This window comes from Homo sapiens, chromosome 5, assembly GCF_000001405.40.
Source record: "Homo sapiens chromosome 5, GRCh38.p14 Primary Assembly".
In the NCBI taxonomy this organism is placed as follows: Eukaryota; Metazoa; Chordata; class Mammalia; order Primates; family Hominidae; genus Homo; species Homo sapiens.
The window spans coordinates 43001150-43015689 of record NC_000005.10 but is presented as its reverse complement, the minus strand read 5'-3'; the positions used below and the strand labels follow the sequence as shown (position 1 = coordinate 43015689).

The 14540-nt window shown below is 43.9% G+C and overlaps 1 long non-coding RNA gene across 4 annotated transcripts in view, besides 6 other annotated features; it reads left to right on the top strand.

Annotated features, from left to right (window-relative positions):
• Positions 1-961, top strand: part of ANXA2R-OT1 (ANXA2R overlapping transcript 1) — a 52711-nt gene extending 51750 nt beyond the window's left edge. For all 4 annotated transcript variants that reach the window (NR_104651.1, NR_104650.1, NR_034086.1 and 1 more), the window contains one exon: positions 540-961. This is a non-coding gene — a long non-coding RNA (ANXA2R overlapping transcript 1). The remainder of the gene's footprint in view (positions 1-539) is intronic.
• Positions 3-52: an enhancer, noted in NCBI's record as "active region_22520". NCBI's record gives its function as "activates an Ori minimal core promoter by ATAC-STARR-seq in GM12878 lymphoblastoid cells {active_cell/tissue: GM12878}" and the evidence as "EXISTENCE:reporter gene assay evidence [ECO:0000049][PMID:35858748]".
• Positions 5005-5505: an enhancer, noted in NCBI's record as "H3K4me1 hESC enhancer chr5:43010287-43010787 (GRCh37/hg19 assembly coordinates)". NCBI's record gives its function as "activates a minimal SCP1, AML or CMV promoter by ChIP-STARR-seq in naive H9 embryonic stem cells {active_cell/tissue: H9 hESC(naive)}" and the evidence as "EXISTENCE:reporter gene assay evidence [ECO:0000049][PMID:30033119]".
• Positions 7444-7533: a silencer, noted in NCBI's record as "silent region_15988". NCBI's record gives its function as "represses an Ori minimal core promoter by ATAC-STARR-seq in GM12878 lymphoblastoid cells {active_cell/tissue: GM12878}" and the evidence as "EXISTENCE:reporter gene assay evidence [ECO:0000049][PMID:35858748]".
• Positions 7444-8361: a biological region, named in NCBI's record as "H3K27ac-H3K4me1 hESC enhancer GRCh37_chr5:43007431-43008283".
• Positions 7509-8361: an enhancer, noted in NCBI's record as "H3K27ac-H3K4me1 hESC enhancer chr5:43007431-43008283 (GRCh37/hg19 assembly coordinates)". NCBI's record gives its function as "activates a minimal SCP1, AML or CMV promoter by ChIP-STARR-seq in naive H9 embryonic stem cells {active_cell/tissue: H9 hESC(naive)}" and the evidence as "EXISTENCE:reporter gene assay evidence [ECO:0000049][PMID:30033119]".
• Positions 7974-8023: an enhancer, noted in NCBI's record as "active region_22519". NCBI's record gives its function as "activates an Ori minimal core promoter by ATAC-STARR-seq in GM12878 lymphoblastoid cells {active_cell/tissue: GM12878}" and the evidence as "EXISTENCE:reporter gene assay evidence [ECO:0000049][PMID:35858748]".

The window sequence follows — 14540 nt, the reverse complement described above, 5'->3', positions numbered from 1 at the left end:
GTAAAAACAAAGATCATGCAGGAGTCTAGACAGAAAGTAAAAGGCAAAAATGTCCCAGGGTAAGTAATCTAGAGTAAGAAAGTGAAGAATTCTGCTTGGTGCCAACGGAGGGCTCCACCATGCCTCTGGTTCACCTACAAAAAATGAACCATTTGCTGTTGGTCTCTGGGATTGAAGATTCACCCTCCCAATTTCCTGCCTGTCCTAAGCTTACCTGTAACTTAGAGGGTTTTGTGTCTGTTTTTTTGTTTGTTTTGTCTGTTTGTTTTGTAAAACACTCTCTACAAATGTTTGATAGATTATAAACCGCAGGATCCACTAGACCCTGCAAGGTGCAGGGGAGCCCTGTGACTACCACTCCAATGCACCTCCACACATGTTCTTCCTCCTAGTTCCTCCACAGAATTTCTTCTTCCTGGTTCCATTTGCTGTAGTAATTTGGGGCTGTATTCACTGACAAGTTCCAAAAGTTTACCCAATTTTGGTGACCGATAAACTCTTGACTAACAATTATGTGTGTGTGTTTGTCTTTCCTGTAGGAGGAAATCAGTGGTGCTTCAGGATATTGTGAATTTGGTCTTCTGAAAGCAGAATTCTGATTTAACAGTATAATGGAATTCGTGAACGTCATGATGCTAATTTGAACCAACAAGCACCCTTGTGAGAGGAATCTGCTTTTCCTCAAGTCTGAAGAACACCAGGAGAATCTTTCTGTATGGAGTTACCAGGAATCCTCTGCTAAGGAAAGTGAAAGGGAAGATGCAATTTCTCCTGGGAAGGGGGGATGCTGATGTAGAGGGTGACAAGTAATATGCCATGAAGGATTCAGTCACCTGGTTAGATTTAGAGTTAGAGTTATGGTTAAGGAAGAAGGAAGGAAAAAAGGCAGAAGAGGAAGAAAGGAAGCAAGAAAAGATAAAATTTATTCTAAGATAAAATTTGTGAATTTTGCTAAACTATATATATTTATTTATTTATTTATTTTATTTATTTATTTATTTTTGCTGTCATTAGCCAAGATAAGGAATCTTCAAGTTGAGTAAGACTGGATTTAGAATTGTCTGGGGGCTTTCAAAAGAGCCATTCAGTAAATAAGAAAGAATACAGGCCTGCAGCACCAGAGTCTGAGCTGGGGGCATAGGTTTGTGTGAATTTGGGCATGGTGGCTCAGGTCTGTAATCCCAGCACTTTGGGAGGCTGAAGTTGAGGACTGCTTGAGCTCAGGAGTCTGAGACCACCCTGGGCAACATGGGGAGACCCCATCTCTACAAAAAAATAAAAAATATTAACCCAAGGTGGTGGCATGCACCTTGCTGCCAGCTACTGTGGAGGCTGAGGTGAGAGGATTGTTTAAGTCCAGGATGTTGAGACTGCAGTGAGCCCTGTTTGTGGCACTGCACTCCTGCCTGGTCCACAGAGGGAGACTCTGTCTGAAGGTGGGGAAAGAAAAGATTTGTATGAATTTGGTGCTGCTTTGTATTTCAAAATAGGAAAGTGGATATACGAATATATGGCATAAAAGGTCCAGATACTGGACCCCAGTGAACTCAATTGTTTTCAAGGTCTGACTTTAACCTTGCTAGGCTGAAGAATCTGGAATGGCTCAGATGTTTCTAGTTCAGCTGTAACTTTTGCCTCCTTTAGAGTAAAGCTGTGGGGGACTTGAGTATACTCAGAGTGGATCTGAGAGGTATCTGCTTCCAGAATGAATTAGAATTCCTGGATTTGAATCATAATCAGATGGCTGTTAAGGGGTTATTGAAGACATATGGCTCTTAAGTTCACAATATTGAATTCAGGTGAATATTATAAATATTTGTAAGTTGGATTATATTATTGAAGCACTTGGTAAAAATTGCCATGCAGGGATAAATGTAGGAAGGGGATTGCAGAGTCTGATATCTAAAAAATAAGTGGAGCAGCATTTGGAAACCCCGTTCACATTTTCAATCTCTTTTCTCTCATTAGAACCTAACTGCTATCCTCTAATCCCTACTTTTGAAAAAATGTATTTAAGGCTGGGCGTGGTGGCTCACGCCTGTAATCCCAGCACTTTGGAAGGCCGAAGTGGGTGGATCACGAGGTCAGGAGATCGAGACCATCCTGGCTAACATGGTGAAACCCCATCTCTACTAAAAATACAAAAAATTAGCCGGGCGTTGTGGTGGGCACCTGTAGTCCTAGCTACTCGGGAGGCTGAGGCAGGAGAATGGCGTGAACCCAGGAGGCAGAGCTTGTAGTGAGCTGAGATCGCGCCACTGCACTCCAGCCTGGGCGACAGAGCGAGACTCCGTCTCAGAAAAAAAAAAAAAGAAAAAATGTATTTAAAAACTCAGCAAACATTAATGGAGATATTCCAAGAGCCAGGCTCCTGGTTCCAAGACCCCACTCAGAGGACTAAGCTCAAATCTAATAAGATGTGTAGGCTTGGGGCCAGTGGGGCGAGGGGATATCCACAGGAGGGCCAATCGAACAAGGCCTCAGACTCATGAGCCTCAAATGTAGATGTTAGATTTTTCCTCCAATTGAGATTATACATACAGCCACAGAGCTTCATGGATGCAAATGAAAATGGTCATGTCTCAACTTTTAAACTGTGCTCAATTAGAGGAACTCATTGCCTATGGCATAGTGTCATGTAATAAAATGGTTTTTTTGTTGTCTAATCTTGTAGTTAGTACAGTGATAGTACATTGGGTTTTTGTGTTAAAAGAAGTCATTTGTTATCCCAGCACTTTGGGAGGCCGAGGCAGGCAGATCACCTGAGGTCAGGAGTTCAAGACCAGCCTGACCAACATGATGAGACCCCATCTCTACTGAATTAGCCAGGCATGGTGGCGCATGCCTGTAATCCCAGTTACTCGGGAGGCTCAGGCAGGAGAATCGCTTGAATCGGGAGGCAGCGATTGCCGTGAGCCAAAATTGCGCCACTGCAGTCCAGCTTGGGCAACAAGAGCAAAACTCTGTCTCAAAAAAAAAAAAAAAAAAAAAAGGCTGGGCGCGGTGGCTCACGCCTGTAATCCCAGCACTTTGGGAGGCCGAGGCGAGCAGATCACAAGGTCAGGAGATCGAGACCATCCTGGCCAACACGGTGAAACCCCATCTCTATTAAAAATGCAAAAAAATTAGCCGGGCATGTTGGCGGGCGCCTGTAGTCCCAGCTACTTGGGAGGCTGAGGCAGGAGAAAGGTGTGAACCTGGGAGGCGGAGGTTGCAGTGAGCTGAGATCCCGCCACTGCACCCCAGCCTGGGCAACAGAGCAAGACTCCATCTCCCCCACCCAAAAAAACATCTTTAAAATTTAGCTTTTAAAACACATTTAGTTATTATTTTACTGTGTTTATTCTTCGTGGTTAGGCACATTTATGCCTTTTTGTTTCCTCCCTTGAGTTGTGGGCCTGGACTCCTAAAACCTCCATTTCTAAATTTGCCTTACCAACAGGGTCACAATGGTAGGCAGGCTTAGTGGGACATGAGGCAATAAAAAGATGAACAGTCATTCTGGTTATGGCTTGGCAGTGGGATGGCAGCACATTAGCTTGGCTCTCACGGTGTGGGCTGCTTTGGTTTCTTTTCCTAACTGAACTCTGACAGGTAGAGTCCTCATGTCCAGGAATAATTCCAGAAAACAATAAAAAAAAAAAATTGGTTTTCAGACCAGGACACAAACATAACCATAGTAGATGAGGGCTCACTCATTTACTAAACTTGAATGTGGTTATTACTTCATTGCTATTGTAAACCAAAAATAAAATTTGAAGCCCCCTGCCACCAACATCTGAATGGACCCCTCTTCTCCGCCAAGGGCATTCCAAAGTTAGACTGAAAAAGTAGTTTCAAGCCATGCTGGGAAGGGGGAGTCAGACATGCCTCATTATATTCTCCTCTCTTTTAAAATTATTGATAGAACAGACTCTTTAAGTCTGGTTAGAAACATTTACAATCTATCTCTCTGAAGTCTTCCACCTGGAGGCTTCATCTGCGACACCTTTGTCTCTGGAACACCTTATGGCAACCCAGGCATTCCTTTCTAGAGATAATAGTTATTGCAACAAATTGCCAATCATAAAATTTTTGAACCTCTCCAACTTGAAAGATCATGCTTCCAGTTGTACTGCCTTTCTGGACTGAACCAATGTACAACACCTTAAATGTATTGATCTCATGACTTCCTAAAATATATATAAACCAAGTTGTGCACTGACCACCTGAAGCACATGTTCTCAGGATCTCCTGATGGCTGTTTCATGGGCTAATGGTCACTCACATTTGGTTCACAATAAATCTCATCAACTATTTTACAGAATTTGACCCTGTGTCTGCTGGACCTCCCAGAAGAGCAGCAGCACATGTGCTGATTTCTTTGGGTTTCAAAATTGACAACAGTCAATGGAAAACTGGATTCCAAATTCTACCAGAGAATACTGTGCCAGGTGCTTTCAGTGGGACCCTTGCTGTCTCTGGGATTTCAAGTGCTATTACAATGGTCTCCCCCAGGGCACATTAAAGGACTGGTGAGATCCCTAACTGGCATGGCTCCAGAAGTGATGTGGAAGTTAGGAAACTCAGGCAGTCATTGATTTCCCAGCCCCACTGACGCTTTTCCTCTATCTCCTGGCTGAGAAAAGAAGACCAGGAAGAGCCGTGAGGGACTTCCAGGGTGGCATGTGGCTGTCTCCAGCACACGTACATAACCTGGATTATATCTGTAACAAGCTATGCTGATGGATCAGCAGGTTAACCCAAGCTGAAAAAAGCAGTCAAGCACTTCCTTTGGTGTGTGAGGCAGAAACCAGGACATCTGCTGGTCCACCAGGGGACAAAAATCAATCCTATTTCACCAATGTGTCTCCTCCGTGTGGGGAGTATAGGGCATTGAAGGTGGATGAGAATCACCATCCACCTTCTGCTGCACAGGAAAGACAAGGGAAGACTCCAGGGAAGACAGAGGAGGAAAACGTCGAGCAGCCCCAGGTGGATGTGTCTGTGTGTGTGTGTGTGTGTGTGTGTGTGTGTGTGTGTGTACCTTGACAGTGGGTAGAGGAAGGGAGAGGAGGGTTGAGGTCTTCCCACTAGAGGAGTGAAATGAGCAGAACTGAGAAAAGAGGTCAGAGAAAAGAAAGAGGAACCTACAAGCCACCACAGAATTTTCTTTCCCCAGAGAATGGTCTCTTGCCCGACTAGGGGCTGGGTATCCTTGTGAAGTCACCGGAGGTTTTCAAGGGGTGGGCTTCCTGGCTTCAGTAGACTCAAGGTCCCTAAGGTCCAGTTAGGATAGGCGCCTGGGAGGGCTCCCGAGTTGGAATAAGAGTCGGAAGAACTGACAGGGCTGGGGGCGCACTAAGCACACTCTACTCCTGAGAGGTGAGGGTGGGGATGTTGGAGGGAAAAAGGGCTGCTTTTTCCTGCCTGCAGGCTTCAGATTCACAGGGGATGTGAGGAGAGGGCGGAGGAGGAGGAAGCAGCGGCTGTTTATGCTGGGAAGATGGCTCAGTTGAGAAGTGAGGCAGATGTGGCCTCAGAGGGTCTGGCGGATGGCTGCCGGGATCACCGGGGGCTGGACTTTGAGATGTCCAGGACGAAGTGTTGCCCTTTCAGTGCTGCCCTCCCTGTGTCTGCTGGAACTGTTGGAGCCGCAGTGCAGCCTAATTTTGACTTCAGGTAAAATAATTCAATATACTGAGGCCCAGGGGGAACAAAGCAAGGTCTACTCCATATCTCTGAACAGCTGGTGTCTTTCAGTGCCTAAACTCAATCAGAATCCTGGGAGCAAAAGTAGCTCTCCAGTGCAGTCCATGCAGGTTACTTCTTGCAACATAGAGGTGACTGAAGCATGGTAAGCAGATCTAGAAAGGCAAACATCTCTAGCAGATCTAGAGAGGCTAGCCAATGTTAGCTAGCAGTGTCTTTATGTTGATAAACCTATTCAGAATGTTAACTTTGTTTGTTGGTTTGTTTGTCCATTTTTGTCTCCCAGGCTGGAGTGCAGTGGTGCGATCTCGGCTCACTGCAACCTCCAGTAATTCTCCCGCCTCAGTCTTTCCAGCAGCTGGGATTACAGGCTCCCCATCGCCACACCCAGAATTTTTTGTAGAGACGGGGTTTCGCCATGTTGCCCGGGCTGCTCTCAAACTCCCGATTTCTTAGTCTGACCAAGTCAGGGTTTAGCTATTTCTTAGCGTAGCAAGTTGAGATTTATTCCAGTTTCGATTTCTAGTTGTAACAATGCTGGCTTTAACCGTGCCTACGTAGTCGTTGCAAGTTCCTGTTTTGTAATAGGAACCCCCATTATAGCCGTTCGTACGGTTTTTAAGTCTTGTAGAAATCTGGGTACTGGAGAATGTAATTAAAAAAAAAATTTAGCAGTGCCTGAAATCTTTTAGTCATACCAAGTGTGATTTCACAATAGAGATTCTCGCCCTGGCTGTGCTTGTGATTTTTCACTCATGCAGAAGTTGAGGTGTCTAGGCTACAGGAACTTTTTGGTGTCGCAAATACCGGTTTAGCCATGGCTGTTTCTTCTTAATCCGAGGAATTTTCGAATAGGCGCAAGAGGCACAGGTTTAGTGCTAATACAAATATAGCCGTAGGATCGCATCGTTCAACACTGCAATTTCTTTGTAGGGTTATTTGTATGTTTTGTATACTCAAAAAAATTTTTTTTGATGTGTCTTTTTCTGGGAGCGAGGTTACTGGTGTATTTTATTTTCATTTCTGTTTGCTTTAAAAATTTATTTTATTTTTTATGTAAATGTTATGTATTTTATTTTTTCTTACCCACTGCCTTCCCCAGGAGAGTAAATGTGGCATAATTTCTTCTACTGATTTTGAGTATCATGTCTCAGCTTCCTACTAACTAGCTTTCTCCCGTGAGTCGGGGAGCAGAGCTGGTGCCTGGTCTCTAGGGTTCTCTTCCGCGGCTCTGTGCCTATGTCGAGCCAGCAGTTTCGCATCAGCACTTTCGCCAATAGCGGAGACTCAGTGTTTTCTCGGCTGCTGCACCGCTGGAAGCGCTGAACACAACAGAACGTTTCGGCGGGGCGCTGTGGCTCACGCCTGTAATCCTAGCACTTAGGGAGGCTGAGGCGGGTGGATCACTCGAGGTCAGAAGTTCGAGACCAGCCTGGCCAGCGGGTGAAACCCCGTCTGTACTAAAAATACAATAATTAGCTGGCCGTGGTGGCGCGTGCCTGCAATCCCAGTTACTCGGGAGGCTGAGGCAGTATGCTTGAACCCAGGTGGCGGAGGTTGCAATGAGACGAGATTGCGCCACTGAACTCCAGCCTGGGTGACAGAGCGAGGCTCCTTCTCAAAAACAAAACAACCCAGAACGTTTCTTGTTCACAAGACTCAGAAGTGCTTTGTGGTAACGCTTCCCCTCTCCTAGCGCCGCCACTTTCCCCGGGCTGGCTGTCTCACGGTCTCAGCCCAGTGATTGGCCGAGGAGGCGCTCTTTCAGCACTTTCGCTGGAAGGGCTTGGGCTCGGTTTTTCTGCCACAGGCGTTTCATTGGGTAGGTGCTTTCTCGGTGGAAGCACTGTACAACCTTCCAAGCCTCGATATTTCTCAGAGACGACGATTTCTTAGTGGCAATACCTTAACTGCACCAAAAACTAAAGTTTGCCGCTGGGTACTCCGCTAGTCGTTCAGTGTCCGCATTTGCTATTGATGCAGGATTTTTGCTTCTAAGCTCAGCTATATCCGGGTCCTTGTCTCACGATCAGGAGGAAGTGGGCACGCGGATATCGAAGAGTGAGTGGAGTAGAATTTATTAAGCGTAAACGAAAGCTCTCATAAAAAACAAGGGTCCTGAAAGCAGGTTGCCGGTTGCTCCTTAACGGCTGAATACAAAGGCTTTTATATGAAAGCTAAGGAGGCTGGGTTCCCTGTTTGTATAAGGCGAGAATCCCGGGTGGCTCCATCCCATTCCCCCAGTGCGCATGCGCGCTCTTAATCCGCAGCAGGCATGCTTAGGCAAGTCCCTTGTGCAAGTTCCCTTATCTGCACAAAACACCAGTCGGAGGTTCTCTGGGGACCCTTCCCTTACAGTCTCCCTAAAGCTGGCTAACTCCTTTCACTATGTCCCAGTATCCCTGGTTCCTCGGACTGGCACTTTCTGAGTCATAGCACCGCTCATTCGTCCGAGCAGAATTGATCTCGGTGGCAGCACCTCTGGTGGGTCAAGCCTGCAGCTTCTCCTGAGCAGTTTCGTTAGTTTTTGGGTCCTAGAACCGCTAGTGGTACCATAGCGGCTCTTCATGGGTTGCAGGACGTTTGCCAACTCCACCCCACGCTGCCTGCCTAGGTTCGGCTACGGGGCAAAAAGAACAGACTCCTGCAAAGGAAGAACCCCGAGGGTTGGATATTTAGGAAAGACGTCCTTTGCAGTGCCACGTCCGCGGATGCTGCACTTGGCTTTCTCCTCCCTCCTGGGGAAGAATTGATGTTTACTTCTCCCCACTCTCCGGGCCGCATTATCCAGGGATTTCGGGGACTAGATTACCTGAGATTTTAGCGCTTCTACTGGATCATCCTTTTGGAAATAATTATCACTTACAATAATGTCTATCCGGGCCGGGTGCGGTGGCTCACACCTGTAATCCCAGCACTTTGGAAGGCCGAGGAGGGTGGATCACGAGGTCAGGAGATCGAGACCACCCTGGCCAACATGGTGAAACCTCGTCTCTACTAACAGTACAAAAATTAGCCGGGCGTGGTGGCGCGCGCCTGTAGTCCGAGCTACTTGGGAGGTTAAGGCAGGAGAATAGCTTGAACCGGGAGGACTGCAGTGAGCCGAGATCCTGCCACTGCACTCCAGCCTGGCAACAGAGCAAGACTCCGTCTCAATAATAATAATAATAATAATGTCTATCCATGTTCTTTAAAAAAGTTTGCCTTCACTATTCTTTATCAACGTTTGGTTGTCTTTCTCAATAAAATAATAGAGAAACATCAAATGCCTTTTGTTTCTTTTGTTTTGTTTGGTTGTTGTTGTTTTAGGATCAAGACCAAGTCAGAGGTCTGTTGCTGGGTAAGGAGTGCAGGTAGGAAAGAAGCCAGGACTCCTCCCACTTACATTCCTTGATTCCTCAACCCAAGCACATACTTGGTAGGACTGTCTTTGGCCAAAAGCTTTTATCTTTCCAAGTTCTTCCTGGGCTCTGACAAGTGCCTGGGAAGTGGTACAGTAGTCCCCAGCTCTACAAATTGCTGTTCTGGAGGGTGGGTTGGCAGAAATGTTGGCTAGTTGAAATGTGAGTGGGGCAGCTTAGGTAGGCAATGATTACCTAAAGACTGTAAAGCCAAGGCGACTAGACCTGTATACCTTGGTGGTGAAGACCTAGGAAACCAGGTCTCCATCACTTATACACTATAAGGTGTAACATTTCAGAAGTAAACTGAAATCTTATGCTTCATATTCCTTTTCAGTAAACTCAGTGGCATATTACACTAATCATGGTGTCCACTTTTTTCCTGAGTTATATACTATTGAAAGATCTTAGAACACTCTAGCACAATGTAAATGTTCATTATATATTAATTACAATTACTTTACATAACTGTTCTTTTTCAGTGATTTTTTTTATACCTCAAATCACCAAACACAAGCCTGAATCCACTAAAATGTCCTTTCTAACACCCTCATTTTGAGACAGCTCGTGGTTCTCTATGATAAGTTCTTGGGTGAGGAGTAACAAATCTAGTTTCTTCAACTGCAAACTCAGTTTCTGATGGTCTTTGGCTAAAGCATATTCACACATACGAGGAATTGATGAAAATGACATCTAGCAGGGACGTTAATGGTTCTTAAATACTTTGGGTTCATTTCTGATTGGCCTTTATTTCTAATAAAGGTATCTGAGGCTGGGCGCAGTGGCTCACACCTGTAATCGCAGCACTTTAGGAGGCCGAGGCGGGTGGATCATTTGAGGTCAGGAGTTCAAGAGCAGCCTGGCCAACATGGTGAAACCCCGCCTCTACTAAAAATACAAAAAATTATCCGGGCGCGGCGGCGGGAGCCTGTAGTCCCAGCTACTCCGGAGGCTGAGGCAGGAGAATGGCGTGAACCCGGGAGGCGGAGCTTGCAGTGAGCCGAGAGATCGCGCCACTGCACTCCAGCCTGGGCGACAGAGCGAGACTCCATCTCAAAAAATAATAATAATAAAATAAATAAATAAATAAATAAAATAAAAATTAGCCAGGCGTGGCGGCGCTTGCCTGTAATTTCAACTACTCGGGAGACTGAGTCAGGAGAATCACTTGAGCCTGGGAGGTGGAGGTAGGTTGCGGTGAGCCGAGATTGCACCACTGCACTCCAGTCTGGGTGACAGAACGAGGCCCTGTCTAAAAAAAAAGTATCTGAGAAAGGCAAGAAAGAAGAAAGTTTAGAGGGTGCCAGGAATTTTTAAAAAAATCTTTACTTCCCCCAAATTTGGAGAGTAATACTTCATCATTGGGGAGGGGAAGTAGTTTCAAATATTTCTGTAATTATTTGAAAGTGGAAGTATCGAATAGAGTCCCATAATAAGTTTCCTTATTAACAACTTGGAAGTTCCTAGAGTTTTGAAAGGTAATGTTTTGGATTTTTTTAATAGAGTATAAATTTTGTCTCTATACTCATTTGCAAGGAGATCCTGCCCTGAACTATGATAAGGCTATGTATTGTGATTATTGTTTTCTTATTGTTAGAAAGTCTTCTCTCTTTAAGTTTTGTCTGTCACCATTCTTTCCATGTGGGAAAGCCTTTAAAGGATACAGTCCTCAAAGAAAAATAAAACCCTCTGATTATGACTGTGTATGATAAGTTTAATTGATACTCCTATATCGTTCTTGAAAATATAGTACTTAATTCATAAAATACTTGTCAAAACTAGAGTGTATTTTGCCCCACACCTTCAGTAACATTGGGTATAATAATTTAAATGATCTTTGTAGTTGCTGAGGCAAAATTATATAAATACTTGTGTAAAAATAGAGTGCATTTTGCCACACATCTCTAGTAATATTGGGTATAATTAAATGATCTTTGTAGTTTCTCAGGGAAAATATACATGTTGCTTTTAACTTTCACTCATTTAATTTGGAAGCATCACATTTCTACAGGCATAAGCCACCTCACCAGGCCTTTTCTTCTTCATTTTTTTAGTAAAGAAAGATAAAAATAATGTCCATTCTTTGTAAGATACTGGAAAATAACTTGGTTTCCAAAGAGTTTCCATCCGGTCCCAAATTTGGAGAAATGAACCTGCACACTCCAGTGCAATGTCAAATCTAGACAAACAAGAGGCAAATGTTATTAACATTAGAAAATGTATACTCTCCATTAAAAGCAAGGATGGGAATTCCTTGGGACCAGAAATGCAAAGAATTCCTGGAAGTGGACTCTAGGTGTCTGCAGAATGAACCCTGAGAGAAGAAGCAGCCCCAGATGGCGAGTGCTTATTGGGGGAATTCTCCTGGTGACCCCAGGAAGCTGGCTTCAGCTTCTTGCAAACTCCAGTTCTTGCAAACTACTATTCTACTTTGTTGCTATAAATTTGTCTACTCTAGGTACCTCACACAAGTGAATCATGCAGTATTTGTCCTGTTTGACTGGCTTGTTTCACTTAACATGTTGTCTTCCAGGTAAATCCATGTTGCAGCATGTGTCAGAATTTTCTTCCTTTTTGAAGCTGAATAATGTTCCATTGTATATACATACTCCATTTTGTTTATTTATTCATCCATTGATGGACACTTGGGTTGCCTTCATTTTTTTGGCTTTTGTGAATAGTGCTTCTATGAACACAGGTTTATAAATATCTATTCAAGTGTCTGCTTTCAAATGTTTGTGTATATCCCCAGCAAGAGAATTGCCGGATCTCATGCTAATTCTATTTTTAATTTTTGGAGGAGCTGTTATGCTGTTTTCCATTGTGGCTGCATCATTTTATATTCCTACAAACAGTGCACAAAAGTTCCAAGTGCTCCACATTCTTCTGGTTTTTTTTAATAGCCATCTGGTTTTTTTTAATAGGTAGTTACATTCATTTTTGCACTTGGAAAACTGGGGGCAAAAACCAAGGGCATGGCAAAGTATAAAATGTGTAAAAAATAAGAAAAAAATTATGTATGTATGTATTTATTTTGAGATGGAGTTTCACTCTTGTTGCCCAGGCTGGAGTGCAATGGCACAATCTTGGCTCACCGCAACCTCCAGCTCCCAGGTTCAAGCAATTCTCCTGCCTCAGCCTCCTGAATAGCTGGGATCACAGGTGCCTGCCACCACGCCTGGCTAGTTTTTCTATTTTTAGTAGAGATGAGGTTTCATCATGTTGGTCAGGCTGGTCTCGAACTCCTGACCTTAGATGATCTGCCCACCTTGGCCTCCCAAAGTGCTGCGATTACAGGCATGAGCCACCGCGCCCGGCCAGCATTACCATTTCTATCTCAGCAGAGGCAAGAGAATGAGTAGTGTTAGAGAAAGCAAGAAACTGCTAAAGGAAAGGGTCACTCCTCAGTATTTTTTTTTCTTTCTTTTTCTTTCTTTCTTTTTTTCTCGCTTTTTTTTTTTTTTTTTTTTTTTTTGAGAGAGAGAGGGTCTCACTCTGTCACCCAGGCTGGAGTGCAGTGGCACAAGCATAGCTCACTGCAGCCTCAACCACCTCAGCTCATGGAGACTCCCAGGTGGCAGAGACTACAGGTACGTGCCACCATGCCTGGCTAATTCTTTAATTTTTTGTGGAGACAGGATCTCACTCTGTTACCCAAGTTGGTTTTGAACTTCTGGCCTCAACTGATCCTCCTGCCTCAGCCTCCCAAAGTGCTGTGATTTCAGGCATGAACCACCACAGCCAGCCTATTTTTGACTTTAGATAAAATAATTCAGTACCCTGAGGCCAGGGTGAACAAAGCAAGATAATAAATTACTACTCTGTATCTCTGAACAACTGATGTCTTTCAGTGCTAAACTCAATCAAAAGCCTGGCGGGGAAAGTAGATCTCCAGTGCCGCCCCTTTAAGTTACCTCTTGTACCATAGTGCTGACTGAAGAGTGGTAAGCAGATCTAGAGAGGCAAGCTGATATTAGCTACCAGTGTCTTCAGGTTGATCAACATATACATAGTGGTAACTTTTTTTTTTTTTTGAGATAGAGTCTCACTCTCTCACCCAGGCTGGAGTGCAGTGGTACAATCTTGGCTCTCATTGCAAAATCCACCTGCCAAGTTCCAGTGATTCTTGTGATTCAGCCTATTGAGTAGCTGGGATTATAGTCATGCATCACTATGCCTGGCTAATGTTTTTGTATTTTTAGTAGAAATGGGGTTTCCCTATGTTGGCCAGGCTGGTCTTGAACTCCGGGCCTCAAGTTATCCACACACCCTAGTCTCCCAAAGTGTTGGGATTACAGGTGTGGGCCACCCTGCCTGGCCTACAAGGGTAACTTTTTAAAATGGTCTAAAAACAACTCTATACTCATAAATTTAACAAATTGGATAATATGGATCAATCCTGCAAGATCCACAGTCTACCCAAATCACACAAAATAATCTGTAAATTTTTGAAATTATTAAAAATACTGAATTCATGGTCAAATGTCTTCCAAAAAACAAACCTAGAGGTTCTTACAATTTCACTGACTAATTTTACCTAATATTCAAATAATTAATAAGATGAATTCTACACAATTTATTCTAGAAAATAGAAGAATATGGCATACTTCCCAACTTATTTTATGAGATCAGCATTTTCCTGGCAAACACAGTACACTAGGAGAAAACTGCTGACTAATATTGCACCTACATATAGATGCAGAAATCTTCACCAAAATACTAACAAATAGAAATCAGAAATGCATGTTAAAGAACAATACCATGCCCAAGTAAGGTTTATTCCACATGTAAGGCTGGTTTAATACTCAAAAGTCAATCAATATGATTCACCCTATTGATTGTCTAGATTGGAAACATCATACAATTCTATCAAATGATTCAAAAAATGCTTTTAAGAAAAACTATACCCATTCATGATTTAAAATTTAAAAACCAACTCTCAGCAATGTGGGAATCGAGGGAATTTCCTCAACTGTGCAAAGAACATCTACAGAAACCTATAGCTAAATTGTATGTAATAGTGACAGACTCAATGCTTTCCCATGAAATCAGGAACAAGGCAAAGATATCCTCTCCAAGTCTTTCTATTCAACAAGGTACTGGAATTGTTTGCTGGTGCAATAAGGTGAGAAAAGGAGTTAAAAAGCATATACATTGGAAGTAAAAAAAAATGAAACTATCCATACTTGCAGAACATGAGCCTATCTTAAAGAGTCTAAAAGCAAACTTCCAGAACTCATGAGTGAGTTTAGCAAGGTCTCAAGATAGGAGGGTGCAAAGCTTCAGAGGGAAAAAGTTCCAGGGCCTTAGAACAGGAGAATTTCCTGCAGTAAGTTCTCAGGTCCTCTGCCTGTTCACTTGATTTCCTGTAGGCTTAGCCTGTGAGTCCCCCACCCTGCATGACCCCGGGCCGGTCCTCCCCTCCAATCTCTGCATAAGACACACCAC